Raw genomic sequence first — 18,123 nt, forward strand, 5'->3', positions numbered from 1 at the left:
TGCCCAGGCTGGTTTCAAACTCCTAGGCTCAATGATCCTCCTAACTCAGTCTCCTGAGTTGCTGGGACTATGGGTGTGAGCTATTGTGCCCAGCCACAGGTTCTGTAAAAAGAGGCATCCTCGGGATTGGAGACAGAGCAAGAAGGAAGGGCGAGCATGGAGCTGAGATGGAAAATGAATTTGGGTTTGGTATCTGACTGCTGGGAGTGTGAAGATGGGATGACGTGAAGAGGACACAGAACTTTTTGCTTTGGGAACAGATGTAGGCTGGGCAGCCATATAGTGAAATACAGAGGTATCGGTGAAGGGAAGGTATAGAACTCCCAGAGTTTCAAATAGAGCAGTGGCAAACAGAGACTTACTATTCTAAGATTCTCCACAAACTGCCAAAGAGGCACCTTTGTTTTTAAGGTGGTACTGTCCCAGCTCCCTTTTGGAAGCCCTTTTTTTGTTCTCTTCCTACCCCACATCACCTGCTAGGCCATTAATAAAAGCAATGCTTTGTTTTCCACACTCTAAATCACTACTAATGATTCTCTAATGGTATTCTAGGTGGCGTGAAGGACAACAGGAGATGATTTTGTTGCTGCTGGAAACAGGAGGCCTACTTTTAAAACTAAAAAGTACAATATTCTAGCCTGCAGACGAAAGAACACTCCTAATGGACTTGTTGTGACAAAGGGAAGCCATATACTAGGAGAAATAATGCTGCCCATGTTTATCAACAGGTACAGGTTGCTCGCTTCCACCAAGTCCGACCTGGACAGAGGCCTTAAACAAGTTAGGAAGAACATATTGCCGCCCTTCACAGGTCTCCTCCTCTCTCTCTCAATCCCTGAGCTTTGGTTTCCTGAGATTTTATTGATTAAAGCTATGTATGTGGCCCAGTGCAGTGGCTCATGCCTGTAATCCCAGTACTTTGGGAGGCTGAGGTGGGTGGATTACTTGAGGTCAGCAGATCAAGACCAGCCTGGCCAACATAGTGAAACCTCGTCTCTACTAAAAATATAAAAATCAGCTGTGTGTGGTGGTATATGCCTGTGGTCACAGCTACTTGGGAGGCTGAGGAGAAGATAGTTTGAACCTGGAAGGTGGAGGATGCAGTGAGCTGAGATCACGCCACTGCACTCCAGCCTGGGCTACAGAGGGACTCTGTCTCAAAAAAAAAAAAAAAAAAAAAAAAAAGAGAGAGAGAGACACACACACACACACACACACACACAGAGACAAAGACAGAGAGAGAAGAAGGTGATGTAAAGATGGAGCAAAGAGAGACGTGGCCGTAAGACAAGGAATGCTGCAAGCCACCGGAAGTTGGAAGAGACAAGGAACAGGATTCTTCCCTATATACCTTGGAAGGAGCATGGCTTTGCTGGATATTGGACCTGATTTCCCAGAGAGTAAGAATACATTTCTCTTGTTTTAAGTTATTCTGACAGGCTGTGCGCAGTGGCTCACACCTATAATCCCAGCACTTTGGGGGGCTGAGGAGGGCGGATCACCTGAGGTCAGGAGTTTGAGACCAGCCTAGCCAACATGGTGAAACCCTGTCTCTACTAATAATACAACAATTAGCCAGGAGTGCACATGCCTGTAATACCAGCTACTTGGGAAGCTGAGGCAAGAGAATCACTTGAACCCGGGAGGTAGAGGTTAGAGTGAGCAGAGATCACACCACTGCACTCCAGCCTGAGCGACAAAAGCAAACTCTGCCTCAAAAAAGTTATTATAGCAGCCTCAGGAAACTACGTAGGAAACATGTGCTATGCCTTAGGCACTATATTTAAGAGTTTTATAAATGTTAACTCATTCAATCCCCATAACAACACTATAAACCAGGCACTATTATCCCTGTGGAAGAAAGGGAAGGACACAAAGATTAAGTAGCTTGCCCAATGTCATAAAGCATGTAAATGAGGGAGCTCAGATCTGATACAGGTACTCTGATTCTAGAGATGGTGCTTGCAGCCAGTGTGCACCCCTGACAATCAAGGTCTGGGGGAGAGGGGTCCAACAGGTGCTCAGAGACGACGTGATGCAAACCCTGGTGTCACCAAACTGATTGATCCATTATTTGCCCCATGCTCAGCTCCAGACAGAAATTACTTTCTGAACCCGCAATTCAGAATATATGTTCCAGCAGAGAAATCAACTATTCAAGAAATAATCTGGCAAAGAGGAGCATCACTGGCTGATTGACAAACACCCACAAAGTGATGTCTACCTATCATGCACTGGGAAATGCCTGCAGGCTCTTGCTCTTAGGCCCAGTAGTACTATTTCCAAAGCTATCTGCTCAGTGGCAGTGGCCCATTTACCTATTACCCTACATCTTTATGAATACAAGCTGGAATAGGGCAGCTTTAGGGTTTTCCAAGGCTGTTAGCCCAACAGCTAAAAAAACCTTTCTTTTCATTTATTATAAATTCTAAAGCCTTGTGAAAAAGATTCTTTATCCTATTGTCACAAACAAGGTCATAAAGCCACTGGGATACAGGTGTTCTGAGTATGAGAGGACAACGGCTCCTTGGCAGCAAAAATGAAGGTCTAGAGGAAAAGCAATTTACTTCTGCTTATGGCACCCTGCAAAAACAAACATCTCTCAGGAAAGCAAGAGGTACCTAAGAGTGAATGATGTCCCTTTGCCATTCAGAGGTTCCTTCTGTCAGATGCTAAGCAACTCAGCACTGGTGTACCTGGGGCAGTGGGTTTAGAGAAAAGACAGGAAAGGAGGTAAGAATAAGGTTGAGTAAGGGTTGACCGTGCCAGGTGATTTGACAGTTATCTCTCTGAAGTCTCCAGGTTGTTAGTAAGATGATGGTAAGGGCCTAGTTTTGAGATAAGGAAACTAAGCCTCAGAGAAGCTATGTAATTTGGCGCAAAGTCACAATGAACAAGAGACTGAGCTGAGATTCAAATCCAGGTCTCTCTGACCCTGAGGTCCATTCTCTTTTCCTTTACCCCACCTTCCTTTCTAAGGAGTAACTTTCCCCTTAGAAAAGGTAACTTCCAAGGATGAAATCTGAAATGGGGTAGAATTTAAGAAGACTCAGGAGAAGACAAAATCAATTTCGCACAAAGCAACCCTTGTCCTTAAGAAGTCTAAACATCTTTATGGGTTTTTGTGGTGTCTGATATAGGTCTCACCACTTTTAAATGAACAACAGTGTCTGCATTTCCATTAATTCTTACTAACATTAAGAGATCTGGCCCACACAAATCTGAAATGCATAGGAACAGGCCTTAGCAAACAAAGTAAAGGATGTATGTCTTTTCCATTAAAAAAAAAAAATCAGGTATTTTTTCCCAGCAGACAGGGAGAGGAAGAAAATGAGAGAGAGAGAGAGAGAGAGAGAGAGAGAGAGAGAGAGAGAGAGAGAGACATGGCATCAAAACAGCAGTATCAAAAGCTTAGAATGGTGGGAGTCTGACCTACATACAAGCTTTTTTTCTTTTCTTTTTTCTTTTTTTTTTTTAAACAGCAGGCATCTGAAGCCTGAAAAATTAAAAGCTTTGCTAAAATTAGGTTTAACTAGTAGAAAAATCCCTCATTCTCTCTCAGGTTTATTGTATCTTTTACTAAAGCATTACACTCATGACACTTAATGGAATATTAGTAAAGGACCTTAATTTTATACTTTGGGTTGGGAAAGGAGGGTAGGAAAAGAAAGTGAATCTAGGAAAGGGAACCTGTGAATTTCCAGTCTTGAGCACATTTCATCAATCCATTTCTAACTGTCTATAGCACATCCTCTGGCTGAGTCTCCTGGAGAATGGAAATAACAAAATCAGGGCCAAGTGAGGGGAAGCCCAGGCTCCTCAGAGACTGTGCCTTCCCCACAGCAGCTTCCTGGGGATGCCTGTGACAGACTCTCTTTGTTGAAGACTGGGCCCTCACTGTTCTCTTTGTGAGGGTAACCTGCTACTCCGGAAAGTAGCATGGCTACTCCGGAAAGTAGCATGTAAGTAGGACCAAAGGCACCGCAGATAATAAAATCTTGGCTGATGTGATGGGCTACGGCTTTTTTTTTCTTTTTTTTTTTTTTTGAGATGGAGTCTCACTCTTGTCGCCCAGGCTGGAGTGGTGCAGTGGTGTGAACTCGGCTCACTGCAACCTCTGCCTCCTGGGTTCAAGCGATTCTCCTGCCTCAGCCTCCTGAGTAGCTAGGATTACAGTTGCCTGCCACCACACCCGGCTAATTTTTGTACTTTTAGTAGAGGTGGGGTTTTGCCATGTTGCCCAGGCTGGTCTTGAATTCCTGACCTCAGGTGATCCACCCACCTCGGCTTCCCAAAGTGCTAGGATTACAGGCATGAGCCACCATGCCCGGCCAGGCTATTGCTTTTCTTTTTCGGTGTGGGGTTGAGTCCAGGGGTGGGTTAGAAAGTGGTGATTGGTTGTAATCCTTTCCTGAGCTTTATTTCTCATGAGGTAGGGTTGTGTAAGTAGGTGTGAGGGGCTTAAAAAGCCAACTGTAGCTGGGTGTGGTAGCACATGCCTGTAAGTCCCAGCTACTCAGGTGGCTGAGGTGAGAGGATTGCTTGAGCCCAGGAATTCGAGGCTGCAGTGGGCCATGACTGCACCACTGTACTCCAGGCTGGGCGACACAGCAAAACCCTGTCTCAAAAAAAAGTTCCAGTTTTTTTAAAAGACAGGGTCTTGCTCTATCGCCCAGGCTGGAGTGCGGTGGCACAATCTTGGCTAAATGCAGCCTTGACCTCCTGGGATCAAGTGATCCTTCTGCCTCAGCCTCCCAAGTAGTTGGGACCACAGGCACACGCCACCACACCAAGCAAATTTTTTTTATTTTTGTAGAGAGAGGGTTTCACCATGTTGCCCAGGTTGGTCTCGAACTCCTGAGCTCAAGCAATCTGCCTGCCTTGGCCTCCCAAAGTGCTGGGATTACAGGCGTAAGCCATCATTTCCAGCCCATTCTAGTTTTAACATTAGAATACCATTGTATTATGTCTGAGTTCTCATCAAATCAGACCAATTCTATTCTGATTTTCAAGGCACTTCCAAAAATTCTTCCACTATTAATAATGAGGAAACAATGAAAATATTTAAATCAAACATGTTCTTTCCTTCTGCTTTCACACATAGAGTACACACGAAGGCTTCCCCAGTGCAGGCAGCTGACTTAAGATCCATGAGGCAGGAATGTTCAAGAGTGCCTCATTTATTACAAATGCCTAGGACGGGCTGGGCCTAGTGGCTCAATCCTATAGTCCCAGCACTTTGGGAGGCCAAGGCGAGAGGATCGCGTGAGCTCAAGAGTTTGAGACCAACCTGGGCAACATAGTGAGACCTTGTCTCTACTAAAATACATCCATGCCTATGGAGAGCAGAGCTTACCACTGTAATTATACACTAGATTTCTGTCATTTCCTTCTAACTTAATGATAGGTAATCTTCCTTTAAACATGTGCTGAAGTTCCTACAGTCCTGACCATCTCAACTTAAAGGAGATCCCGCCGGGTGCAGTGGCTCACACCTGTAATCCCAGCACTTTGGGAGGCTGAGGCGGGTGGATCACCTGAGGTCAGGAGCTCAAGACCAGCCTGGCCAACATGGTGAAACCCTGTCTCTACCAAAAATAAAAAAATTAGCTAGGCATGGTGGCAGGTGCCTGTAATCCCAGCTACTCGGGAGACTGAGGCAGGAGAATTGCTTTAACCTGGGAGGTAGAGGTTGAGGTGAGCCAAGACTACAAAATTGCACTCCAGCCTGAGTGACAAGAGCAAAACTCTGTCTAAAAAAAGAAAAAAAAAAAAGGAGATCCCAAGCAGTCAGAGGTGCCCTCCTGCTTGAGTAAGCAGCACACCTCAGCAAACAGCAGCCACCACCTAGGCCATTCTCCTCTGTGGTTCCCCATGTGCTTTCATATTAACAGATACCATGGCCCAGGGTGTGGTCAAGGGAATACCACACATGTGCTTAAGAATTGGTTTCTATTATGACTATTCACCTTTTGCCATCTGGAATGGCAGTCTTATAGGGAGAATCTTAATGTAGGCATCATTTGATATAATTTTATAGTTTAAATGAAAAGGAATGAAATGCAATGCTGTGTATTTCATTAAGATCAACAAAACCTAAAGGTGGTCTAAGAACAGTTGGGGCCAACCTCAGTTTCCATTTGCCAACTGGATACCAGAAACATTCTACTACAGATACTTCCCGTGTCTTTTTGTTTGGTAGGAAGAAACCAAGTTGGGACACTATAAGAGACAGGAACAAAATCTACCAAAAGTTGGAGTTATCAGGTGAGTTAGGAGTAGGACCAAATAATAAGAGCCAAGGAAGAGCAATAGAGGCATGCACGCAGTAGTCTCCAAACAAAAATTATAAGCATTTGATGAATCAAAGGTAGGGGACAGGGCAGAGGGGCTGAAGAACTTACAGAGGTATCGGTACAAACTAAATGGAATATGTACAGGTGCCAGCTTATACCAGCTACATTCATACCTAGAAGTCCGTAAGTGTTTAAGAGCCTAGCAGATTCATAATACCAAGCTGCTACTTTAACAGGCTCTACCACTAACTGATGGAGAGTTTTGTAGAGAAGAATTACATGTAACTTATCTGCATACTTATACAGAGGCCAGAGAGATGAAAAATTAACCACTTGGTAATAAATCTGCCTAGTCCCTCCTCTCAGCACTTCCCCAACCTTACTGGCATTCAGAAGCTGATTATTCCCATCATATATCATAAAGTCGAGCCAAATACCAAAGACAGCCAACTGACCCAGATAATCTTCAGCTCCCAATGTAAGCTGTGGCCTGTTAACTTTTCTGGAACTTAGGAATCATGAGTTGGAAGGACCTGCTCATAGTTCTTACCTTACCCTGTGGCAACTCAGAGACTAAAGCCATTCTGGCCCCAAAATGCTACGGACAATCTTACTTGCCCTGGTTTGAAAGTCCTTTTTAGCTGACCTTTAGAATATGGTCTATCAGACCTACGTGCTAGAACCAGCTTTTTCTGAACTGGTAACTTTAAAATAGTGGGTTTAATTTACTGTTGTTCTTTTTTTTTTTTTTTGAGATAGGGTCTCTCACTCTGTTGCCCAGGCTGGAGTGCAGTGGCATGACCTCGGCTCACTGCAACTTCTGCCTCCTGGGTTCAAGCGATTCCCGTGCCTCGGCCTCCTGAGTAGCTGGAATTACAGGTGTGTGCCACCATACCCGGCTAATTTTCCTATTTTTAGTAGAGATGGGCTTTTGCCATGTTGGCCAGGCACTGGTCTTGAATTCCTGGCCTCAAGTGGTCCACCTGCCTTGGCTTCCCAAAGTGTTGGGATTACAGGCGTAAGCCACCGCGCCCAGCCTAATGTGCTGTTGCTTTTAATTTTACTCTTTAACAGACTTGATTTTATATTCAAACTCCAAAGCAACCCAACAAAAGGGGTAATTTGGAAAAATTATTATCTTGAATTGCTGGAACTCTCACATACTGCTAGAGTGTAAACAGGCACCACCACTTTGCAAAAAGTTTGGCAGCATCTATTAATCTGAACATATGCATATCCTATGATCCACTCTTAGGTTCATAAATACTCAATTCTACACCTTAGGGATATATACAACAGAAATGTACATATATGTCTTATCAAAAGACGTGCTCATGTATTTCACAACAGCACAAACTATTCATAATAACTAAAATCCAGAAATCAGTCAAATGTCCAACAGAACAGACTAATAAATAGTACAGCCACAGAACACTGTATAGCAAACAGAAGGAACAAATGTACAACCACAAACAATAATGTGGACACATCTCAGATATACAGTGTTGAGTGGAAGAAGCCAGATGTGGCCGGGCATGGTGGCTCATGCTTGTAATCCTAACACTTTGGGAGGCGGAGGCGGGAGGACTACTTAAGCCCAGGAGTTCAAGACCAGCCTGGGCAATATAGTGAGCCCATGTCTCTACAAAAAAATTTAAAAGGCAGTGGGGTGTCGTGGTGTGCACTTGTGGTCCCAGCTACTCAAGAGGCTGAGGTGGGAGGATGGCTTGAGCCTGGCAGGTTGAGGCTGCAGTGAGCCCTGATAATGTCACTGCACTCTAGCCTGGGTGACAGAGTAAGGCCCTGTCTGTCTCAAACAAAACAAAACAAGGAAAGCAGCCAGACATAATAAATGTAATTGTGGTTACATTTAGATAACATTCAACCAGCCCAACTAGTCTACGGCGCTAGAAGTCAGGACAGTTGTTATCCTTGGAAGGGAAGGTGACTCAGTATGATGAGGGCCTCTGTGTGTTGGTTACACATGAATATTCTCTGTTAAAACTCATCAATTCTGCAAGTATAAAGGAAGTAAAAAAAAAAAAAACTCAGCTGAATATTTATGATTGTGCATTATCCAAAATGTACATTTTATTTCAATAAAAAATCATGAGACTATCTTGTCATAGACTAAAAATAAAAAAAAAACCTCTCATCATGCACTGCACTCAATAATTCTTTCCTTTACAAATTCACTTTAGAAAAGCCTATTTTTGTGAGAAAGTAAAAAGATTAAAATGACCTATTTCTCTTCCAAAGACTATTTTTATGAACTCTAGTTTGCGGAACTGCTTCACTAGAATAGCTGTATCTGAATCTGCTATAAATCCCCTTAGTCTTCCGTCACGGGAGGCAGCACTGTGGCACTGGCCTCACTTTGGAATCAGATGGAGCTCAGTGTGAATCCTGGCTCTACCATGCAGCAAAGCTATGCGGCCTTGCCATGCATCAGTTCTTCAACTGTAAGGTGAGAATGAGAAATAAGTGAAACAATGTGGGTGAGGGGCATGGCATACAAACACCCATTATCATCAAAATCTCATTTAGGGAAGAAAGTAGACGCACCTCTCTGCCCATCTTTTACAAAGTAAATGCAGATGCTAGCACTCCTTAGATGTTCTGTGAGCAGTTAATGTGAATATGATGCTTTAGCACCATCAAGAGCCAAATACCAAGTAGCTACAGTAAACTTCCTCTTAAAAGTTTATCCCAGTATTTCAGAAACTGAATTTTTATTTATTTATTTATTTTTCAGAGACAGGGTCTCACTCTGTTGCCCAGGCTGGAGTGTAACGGTGCAGTGTCACAATCACAGCTCACTTGCAATCTCAAACTCCTGGGCTCAAGTGATCCTCCAGCCTCAGCCTCCTGAGTAGCTAGGACTACAGGTATGCAGTACCACCACACCTGGCTACTTTTTTTTTTTTTTTTTGGTAGAGACAGCTTCTCTCTATATTGCCCAGGCTGGTCTCAAACTCCTGGGTTCAAGCGATCCTCAAGTCTTGGCCTCGCAAAGTGCTGGGATTAATGGTGTGAGCCACCAAGCCTGGCCTAGGAATTTAATTTTTAAATAACTATTGTTCTTGAAAAATTACTTTGAGATGTGAACTCTTAAGCATTTGTATCTTTTGAAAGCTTAACTCTGGAGAAAATCTGATTCCATACAAAGAATTTAAGATCCACTCAAGTAGACAGAAATAAGACTGAGAAAGAATGCACCTTGTTGTGAGCAGGGTAAACTTCTAAGGCTATCTCCACAAATGTCATTTAGAGTGGCAAGTCTGACGATGGTAGTAATTCTTATGATTGCAAATTAATCCTGTGAGTGTGTGTAAACGAAAGCTTCCCAAAGTAAACTTAGCCCTGTTTTTCGGTAAAGTCAATAAAAACTACTAAAACTACAGCCTAAAATATATTTTGGGTTGTGAATAAGTGTGTTGATAATACCGTGACTTGGACAGAGAATTTGCATCCCATCCCCAAAAGCACAAACTTTGGCTCTAAGCACTTGGTATATTACTGTGGATAAGCAAACTATAAAAATCTTACAAGATGACTTTCACTAGACTAACATAAAACACAGCACACACCCATATATATTGCCCTCTAAGAAGAGAAGGAATGTGGGGTTTGGGGGGTGAACTGGAATTAAAAGTACATCTTAGGTTTTAATGATGCTGGCAGTTAAGCTTGAAGGAACTATGAGTTCAACTTCCAAAGTAGTTAAAATTTAGTAAACAATAGCCAACTCGAAACAGTTCTCACAAGCTACAAATGGGACAATTTTAGCATCAAAAAAAGCCAGGCACAGTGGAACGTGCCTATAATCCAGCTACTTCAGAAGCTGAGGCAGGGGGATTGCTTGAGCCCAGGAATTTGGGTCCAGTCTGGGCAACTCAGTGAGACCCAACCTCTTTTAAGAAGCAACAAGAAACACAAATAGTATCTATGATAGACTGAAACACACAAAATATTAAAAAATTTATAATTTTACAATATTAAAAATATACACAAAAAAACCCTTTGCTGGTCACCTTTGGTTACTGAGGGGCAGCAACTCATTATACAGATAACCAATAGAGGGAAAATATGAAGCATTTATCCAGGCTTTCCTATAAGAACTGATTTTCAGGGTAACTAACTGAGACACAGTCTCGCTCTGTCACCCAGGCTGGAGTGCAATGGCACAATCTTGGCTCACTGCAACCTCCGCCTCCTAGGTTCAAGCAATACCCATGCCTCAGCCTCCTGAGTAGATGGGACTGCAGATGTGCACCATTACACCTGGCTAATTTTTGTATTTTCAGTAGACACAGGGTTTTGCCATTTTGGCCAAGCTGGTCTCGAACTCCTGACTCAGGTGATCCGCCCGCCTCGGCCTCCCAAAGTGCTGGAATTACAGGCATGAACCATTGCGCCCGGCCTAAAATAGCTAATTTAAGAAGCAATTCTGAACGCTCAATTCTAAAACAATTTAGTCGAATGGGGATTTTTATAATGGATGATCCGACTGACAACACCAGAACTACTGATCAATCTTAATTACCACAAAAAGAAAAACTGACACTACAAGAATGCCTGACCTCATAAGTGAATCTTGTCTGGGTGTGGTAGAGCTCATGCCTGTAATCCCAGCACTTTGGAAGGTCGAGGCGGAAGGATTGCTTGAGCCCAGAAGTTCAAGATCAGCCTGGGCTACAAGGCGAAACCCTATCTTTATAAAAACAAAACCAAAAATTAGCCAGGTGTGGTGGCATGCACCTGTAGTCACAGCTACACAGGAGGCTGAGATGGGAGGATTGATTGAGCCTGGGAGGTTGAGGCTGCAGTGAGCCATGATCATGTCACTGCACTCCAGCCTAGACAACAGAGCGAGACAGTGTCTTTAAAAAAAAAAAAAAAAAAAAAAAAAGTGTGAATTTGAACCTGAGCAATCCTCTGGTTTATAGGAAATGTGTGTTTGTGTGGGGGGGTTAGAAGGACATATGACATGACACTATGCACCTCTGGTGTACAATCAGGCACAGCCACATTGTGGAAAAACCCTGGTTTCTTCAACACATAAATGGCACAAAAAAGGGAAGGTGAATTATTACATAGATTTTTAAGAGACATGTCAACAAATGTGTGAATCTTAACTGAATACTGATTCAAACAAACTAAGCACTCAAAAGATATTTAACAAATGATATTAGGAATTATGATTACTTTTGTTTGATGGTGATGATAGTTATGTAAAGAATAAGACTCCCGGCCAGGCGCAGTGGCTCACGCCTATAATCCCAGCACTTTGGGAGGCTGAGGTGGGCGGATCACGAGGTCAGGAGATCGAGACCATCCTGGCGAACACGGTGAAACCCCGTCTCTACTAAAAATACAAAAAAATTAGCCAGGCATGGTGGTGGGCGCCTGTAGTCCCAGCTACTCGGGAGGCTGAGGCAGGAGAATGGCATGAACCCAGGAGGCGGAGCTTGCAGTGAGCCAAGATCGCGCCACTGCACTCCAGCCTGGGCGACAGAGCGAGACTCCGTCTCAAAAAAAAAAAAAAGACTCCCACTGGTTAGAGATACATTTGAAGTCTATCTCATTTCCCAAAGTGAGGAGGAAAAGATAAAAACAGACTCTAAAATGTTGATAATTTTGAAGCTGTCCAATAGGTACATGGGGGATTATCATACTATTCTCTCTACTTTATCTGTGTTTGAAGATTTCCGTAACAAAAAGTAAAAGTGGCAGAAAGATGATGGTTGTTGAAACCAGGTCATGGGAGTTTGCTGTGTTGTGTGTATTTATCTTTGAAAATGTCTATAATTTTTTTTACGGTATCAATAATCCAAGATAAATTCTGAATGAACTCTGAGATATTACTGTCCAATCAGAGGCTGACCTACTCAACAAAAAGGCATCATACCAAGAGAAAAAGAACATGGAAGGCTTCATGTGGCGATAACCCTAAATCTCACATGCCTACAATTTTCTAGATGACAATGAAAATTTTGAGCAGTCTTCATCAGAAAACACCAACTGTGTGGTTGGCCCCAATGATGCTCTGTGCCTCTGTAGTGACCATAAGCTTTTTCCAAGAGCAGGGCCTTCCTCTTACCTGGCTGGGGTGGATGAGGTGGTGGCATCTGGTGGTGCATCAGAGGGTAGGGAGGGGGCTGTTGATGAGGCATCATGCCAGGGTGCCCTGCTGCTCCAAGTGGGGCCAGGCCAGGTCCTCCTGAGTGCTGGTGTGCCTGTTGAGGGTTCTGGCCATGCTGCTGCTGTTCCATTTGCTGTCGTGCTCGTAATTCAGCATACTTCAGCTGTTCCATGTGGAAGTTTTGGCGTTCAGTAAGCAACTGCTGCCTCTGTTGTTCTAGCTGTAAGCAAAGGAAGTGGAAGAGAAATGACACCAGAAGAGGCTTTCAGGATTGGATAACACAAAGGACAACTACATAATGCCTGAATTACCTCTATCCCATCACACTGACATCACCACCTCACTTCCTGCACCTTCTACAGTGAGAACAAAGGCATTATTTCTTGAGTAGCATATTTCCATTTGGACATCTGTTACCATGGTCAAAGTCTTCTCCATGTTGAGTCTAAGTCTTTCCTTGCAATCTTCCCGCAGTAGGGCTACTGCTCTTTGGGCTCACTTGGACACATGTAATCCCCTCTATGTTTGGCAGGCCTTTAGATATCTAAAAATACTTTCTATGGCTGTCTGAGTCTTCCCCAGGTAAAACGAGCCTCTCTTGTCCTTGTAATAGTTCCTCAGATGTTAACATTTCAAGTTCACCCAACCTTCCTATGTGCTCTCTTTTGGATGTGATACTCTCATGGTTACTGTCTATTTTAGAACATAACACCAGAGTTAAATTACTCTGCATGAGTTGACGTGGCCTTAGCTGCAAAGATATGCATTTCTCTATGTGGAACTTTGGCAGTGCCACTGCAAATCTTAGCTTTCAAGTACCCAAAATTATACTTGGTGACACATTCACGGAATATTTTAGTTGCCTATAAAAAAATTTGCATGAATCTTAGTTTAACGACTACAAGCATTTCAATATTCAAGATAATCTTTCTGGCACCCAAATGAGAATAAAGAGAAATACAGTATTATATGTTTAGTTCAGAGAATGAAGCCTATCCTAAATTAATTTAATTCAGGGATGATAAAGAAAATCAACCTGAACATGCAGGAAAATGAAAATCCAGATCTCTGAAAGTAGTATAAAAATCATAAGCATAAGGAGGGTTAATAAACCCACTTCTTTTCAATAACATCTCCATCCCATCATTTTGATAGAAAAATCTAAGTCACTGGGAATCATTTTCTAGTGCTGTGTTGTCCAATACAGCAGTTAGAAGCCACACACAGCTACTGAGCACTTGAAGTGTGGCTAACATGAAATGAGATGTGCTGTTGGTGATGCACAGTAAAATTTGAAGACTTAATATGAAAAATTGTTCATATAAATTACATATAGAAACAATGTATATATGTAGGTTTTACATATACTGGATTATGTAAAACATCATTTCACCTGTTTTTAATTTGGCTACTAGAAAATTTTAGTTATATATATGGCTCACATATTTCTGTCCAATAGCACTATTCTGAGGCATTTAATAGGTTAGGGAAGTATAACATTTTTGCTTTTGGGGGCAGCAAGTTCTGTGGATAAACACTACACACTATTATTTGCAAAAACTAGATGGAATAAGCATGAGAATTAGCCTAAAAATCTGGGCCTTTGGCAGAGGGCCGACTGGGGAAAATCCCTGTGAAATTGAGTGAGAAGCATCACTGGTTATAGGAGTAGCAACTGGGGTATTTCCATGGACAGATGGGGTGTGGGAAGACAGGCCATGAACACAGTATGAAGAAAAGATGCATGAGCAGGCTAAGAGGAGAACAAATAAAGAGAGTAAACGGTATAGCTTATGTCCTGGATTTTGGTAACTGGCTTGTAGACTTTCCTTAGGGAGAGGGAGATTTTCTGAAACAAAACATTTTGAGAGAGGTTGAGGGTTACCAGGAACAAGCAAGACAGGGTTCTACCATGGTCCTAATAGTCTAGTGTGGGCTCTTCATTTTCTGGGAAAGGTAATCTGAAGAGGGTAAAGCCTAGCCTGGTTCAGTTTCCTGTGTGCATGATGAGAAGGGAGATGTAATATGTAAACAGCAAGAGAATCTTCTGGAAGTCCAGTTCTGCAGGAAGACTAATCAGATTAGTAAGTAAGAGGCAAAATGACTGTAAAAGGTGGGGTGGGAAATCTAAATATTCTGGCTACAGATCCTTGGTTTTGCTTTCTTCTAATCATTCTTTCTAGGAATTTAGGACTCTGAATTTGCTTAAGAGGTGGCCAGAAAACATCCTCTTATCTGTTTTTGTTGAGTGACTACTGGTCTGAACAGCTTGGCTGTAGTCCTACTGTTATGTAAGAACTATGGAATTTAGGTCAAGATATGCTTTATAAGGAAGCTGAACTGCTACTGGAGGGAGCAGTGACTCTAAAAGGAAATTCTGGTCTCTGCATTACCTAGCTGAATTTTGGGTTCTGCTTTTAACCAAACTAGCCTTTCTTTGAGGGCTTACCTTAGTATCAAGGTATTAACCTTGGAAAGAAAAAAAGAATCTACTAATAAGAGGATGAGAGGGCCAAGCTGGGAAGAAAAATTTGCCCAATTTTCCTTGCCTACAACATGAGCTAGCCTGTATTATCCTCTTTATTTTCTGAGTTTCATCTGTCATTTTAAAACTTAGAAGGTAATTTAAAAAAAGTAATTAGAAGAATTAGAAAGGATAAGTGATTAAACACATACATAAACCTGAAAGAGAACCCAGTTTAAACCAAAAGTTCCAATGTGGGGCCAAACATGTCCTATGAGTTGAGAGCAATGCCCAAATAACAGGCTACCAGTTGGCTCCATAAGGGCCATCTCTGTTCTGCGGCAGATGCAGCAGAGCTTGCCACCATGTACTGGCCTCGTCATGCAAATAAAATAACTTTTCTTGTTCTAGATACCTTATTTTTATTAAATCAAGTTGAAGACTGCATTCACTTTTGTGGCAATCAGAAAGAATGTTAACTAGGAATTTCTGAGAGAAAATTGCCAGTACTGGTCATATTTTAAATGCACTTAACCAATGACCCAGTGATTAGGCATCTGGAAATCTGTCCTAGAATACTGTATGTATGCATGTGTAAGGATGGTCATCAAGGCATTCTTTTTGATGTTCAGTTACATAAGATAACCTGAATGGGGGAAAAAACAAGTTGCAATAAAAATATTTATAAGATAATCCAAGTATATAAAAATGACTTTGTGATCATGTATAAACACATTTAAAATGTTCTGAAAGATACAAACTATTAACAGTGATCATCCATAGAAATGAAACTGGAAGTAGGAGAACTTTTCTCTTTTTTTTTTTTTTTTGAGACGGAGTCTTGCTCTGTCGCCCAGGCTAGAGTGCAGTGGTCGCCTTCCGGGTTCAAGCAATTCTCCTCCCTCAGCCTCCCAAGTAGCTGGGATTACAGGTGCCCACTACCACGCCCAGCTAATTTTTGTATTTTTAGTAGAGATGGGGTTTCACCATGTTGGCCAGACTGGTCTTGAACTCCTGACCTCAGGTGATCCGCCCGCCTCAGCCTCCTAAAGTGCACAGGCATGAGCCACTGCTCCTGGCCAGAACTTTTTATTTATGATTTGAAAATTTAAAATATCACACACATATGTTTAATAACAAAAAAATAGGCTCCAGCGAACCCAGTTTTTCATACAAGGCTGCCTATGGCCCTGCTCTGAAGACACATCCTGAGCCCCCACTTCCCCTGCTTTCAAAAACCCTGCCTTCCTCTCCCTCTTCACTGTGTATGTATAAAGCAGCCGTATCCAAGCGAAATCTAACACAACAGAGCACTTTTCAACACCAAGACACCAAACGCAGACACAGCTGCAAGTGCAGCTGAAGTTCACACAAAGCTCTTCTCCCTTCTATTTGCATAAAGCAGGGAGGGGGGTGGGAAAGAGTAAAAGACAGTGAGGGCCACAAAAATCTATCTGCAATGCCAAGGACTGAAATATCAGCTGAGACTTGAAGCCTCAGAGCTAAAGTAAATAATCACACCTTCCTTTTCAATGCTTTGTATCAGTGATGAGAAATTCACTGAAAAAACCCCAAATCCAAAACAGACATATCCATCCCTTTTTATACCTGAGGTAAAAGAAAACAATATAATTGCATTTTGCTACTTCCATGTGTACTTCTGGTAGCAGAAATCCAAAAAGGGAGCCTGCATCATTATTGTGACTTGTCATTTTATCTTTGTTGCAGTGTGCTTGCTTCTTGAGGCCACAAGTCTTTCTGCTTCAGAACTGAACCTGCTACTGGGTATGGCTTTCTAATCTCAAATAAAACTACCTTTAATGTAATAGCAAATGTTGAACAATAGATTCAATTGTATGACAGGCAGCACAGAAGATGAATTACTACAACTACACAGAAAACAAAGTTAAATATAATTACTCTGGGACACTATGAAATTCTTTTTTGCTGTTCTTTCTTCCTCAGTTTGTCATAAAATATAACAAATTTTTCTAAACTTACTATTTGTGAGGATAGCCCATTATCTCTATCTTGAAATTCCACCCAGAACTTCACCATTTCTCTTCACTTCCACGGCTGACACCCTGGTCCAAGCCACCATATCTCACGTGCATTAACCTAACAGCCTCCACACCAAGTCTCCCTGATTCTGACCTTGCTGCCTTATAATTTACTCTCTCTAACACAGTAGACAGAGTGATCCCTGATAAACTGTAAGGAAGATCACTTCAGTCCTCAACTCAAGGTCCCGCAATTATTTCACATTTCAGAGTAAAGCAAAAAGGCCTCTGGACTGCTTTCAAGAATTTCTGTGATTTGGTCACCATGATCTCTTTGACTTTATGCTCCTAACTCCCTTGACTCATTTATGCTCCAGCCCACCCACCTACTCCCTTGTCTCTGAACATGTCAGTCATACTCCTGCCTCAGGGCCTCTGCACTGGCTGTTTCCAGCACCTAGAAGTGCTTGCCCATCAACTGTCAAGTTTCTCAATAAGGCCTAATCTGATGACACCACTCAAAACAGAAATCCCTTCCCTGCCACTCCTAATCCCCCCGACTCAGCCCATAACATACACACAAAGCTTGTATGTATACCTATATATATGCAGCATATAATACCTTATTACTTATAAAACTTCCTTAATTCACTCATGGTTTCTAATTATTTGAAATCCACCAAGGCAGAGATCTTTGTTGGGTTTTATCTACCACTGTATCCTCAGTAGCTGTATGCCTGGAGGACAGCAGATGCTCAGTGAGTATTTGGCAAATGAACAAATAAATCATTTTATCTACCACAAAAACTATCAAGGCAGGCTGACCCTCCAGTCTCCTAAGCAATCATTCTTTTCATATTTCAAGAGCTGGGCCTTTCTTACAAATCATTATCAATCCTCCTCCTCCAGGAATCTTACCTTGATAATCTGAGCTGACCATGACCTCCCCTTTCTCTGAATTTTCATAGCCCCATCATCTCATAGTATTTGGTTTCTTTGAGTCAATGTCTCATCCATCCTTTAACTTCCTTAAGTACAGGGTCTGGGTTTCTCACAGTTCCGAGTTCCCTAATAGTCCCTCTTTTCTGAAGGTACACAATTTCTTTCTTTTCTTTTCTTTTCTTTTTTTAAGACAGAGTTTTGCTCTTATTGCCCAGCCTAGAGTGCAATGGCGCCATCACGGCTCACTGCAACCTCTGCCTCCTGGGTTCAAGTGAT

The 18,123-nt window shown here is 42.3% G+C and overlaps 1 protein-coding gene and 1 long non-coding RNA gene across 2 annotated transcripts in view; one reads left to right on the forward strand and one right to left on the reverse strand.

Annotated features, from left to right (window-relative positions):
- SMARCC1 (SWI/SNF related BAF chromatin remodeling complex subunit C1) overlaps positions 1-18,123 on the reverse strand; it is a 196,625-nt gene that overhangs the window by 12,398 nt on the left and 166,104 nt on the right. Inside the window, exon 26 of the mRNA NM_003074.4 lies at positions 12,400-12,661. Within this exon, the coding sequence (NP_003065.3) occupies positions 12,400-12,661 (262 nt within the window). The remainder of the gene's footprint in view (positions 1-12,399; positions 12,662-18,123) is intronic.
- LOC124906234 (uncharacterized) lies at positions 2,557-16,709 on the forward strand. Its single transcript, XR_007095902.1, has 3 exons — positions 2,557-2,617; positions 6,203-6,267; positions 16,634-16,709. It is a non-coding gene; the product is annotated as an uncharacterized LOC124906234 (long non-coding RNA).

Source organism: Homo sapiens, chromosome 3, assembly GCF_000001405.40.
Source record: "Homo sapiens chromosome 3, GRCh38.p14 Primary Assembly".
Lineage (NCBI taxonomy): Eukaryota > Metazoa > Chordata > Mammalia > Primates > Hominidae > Homo > Homo sapiens.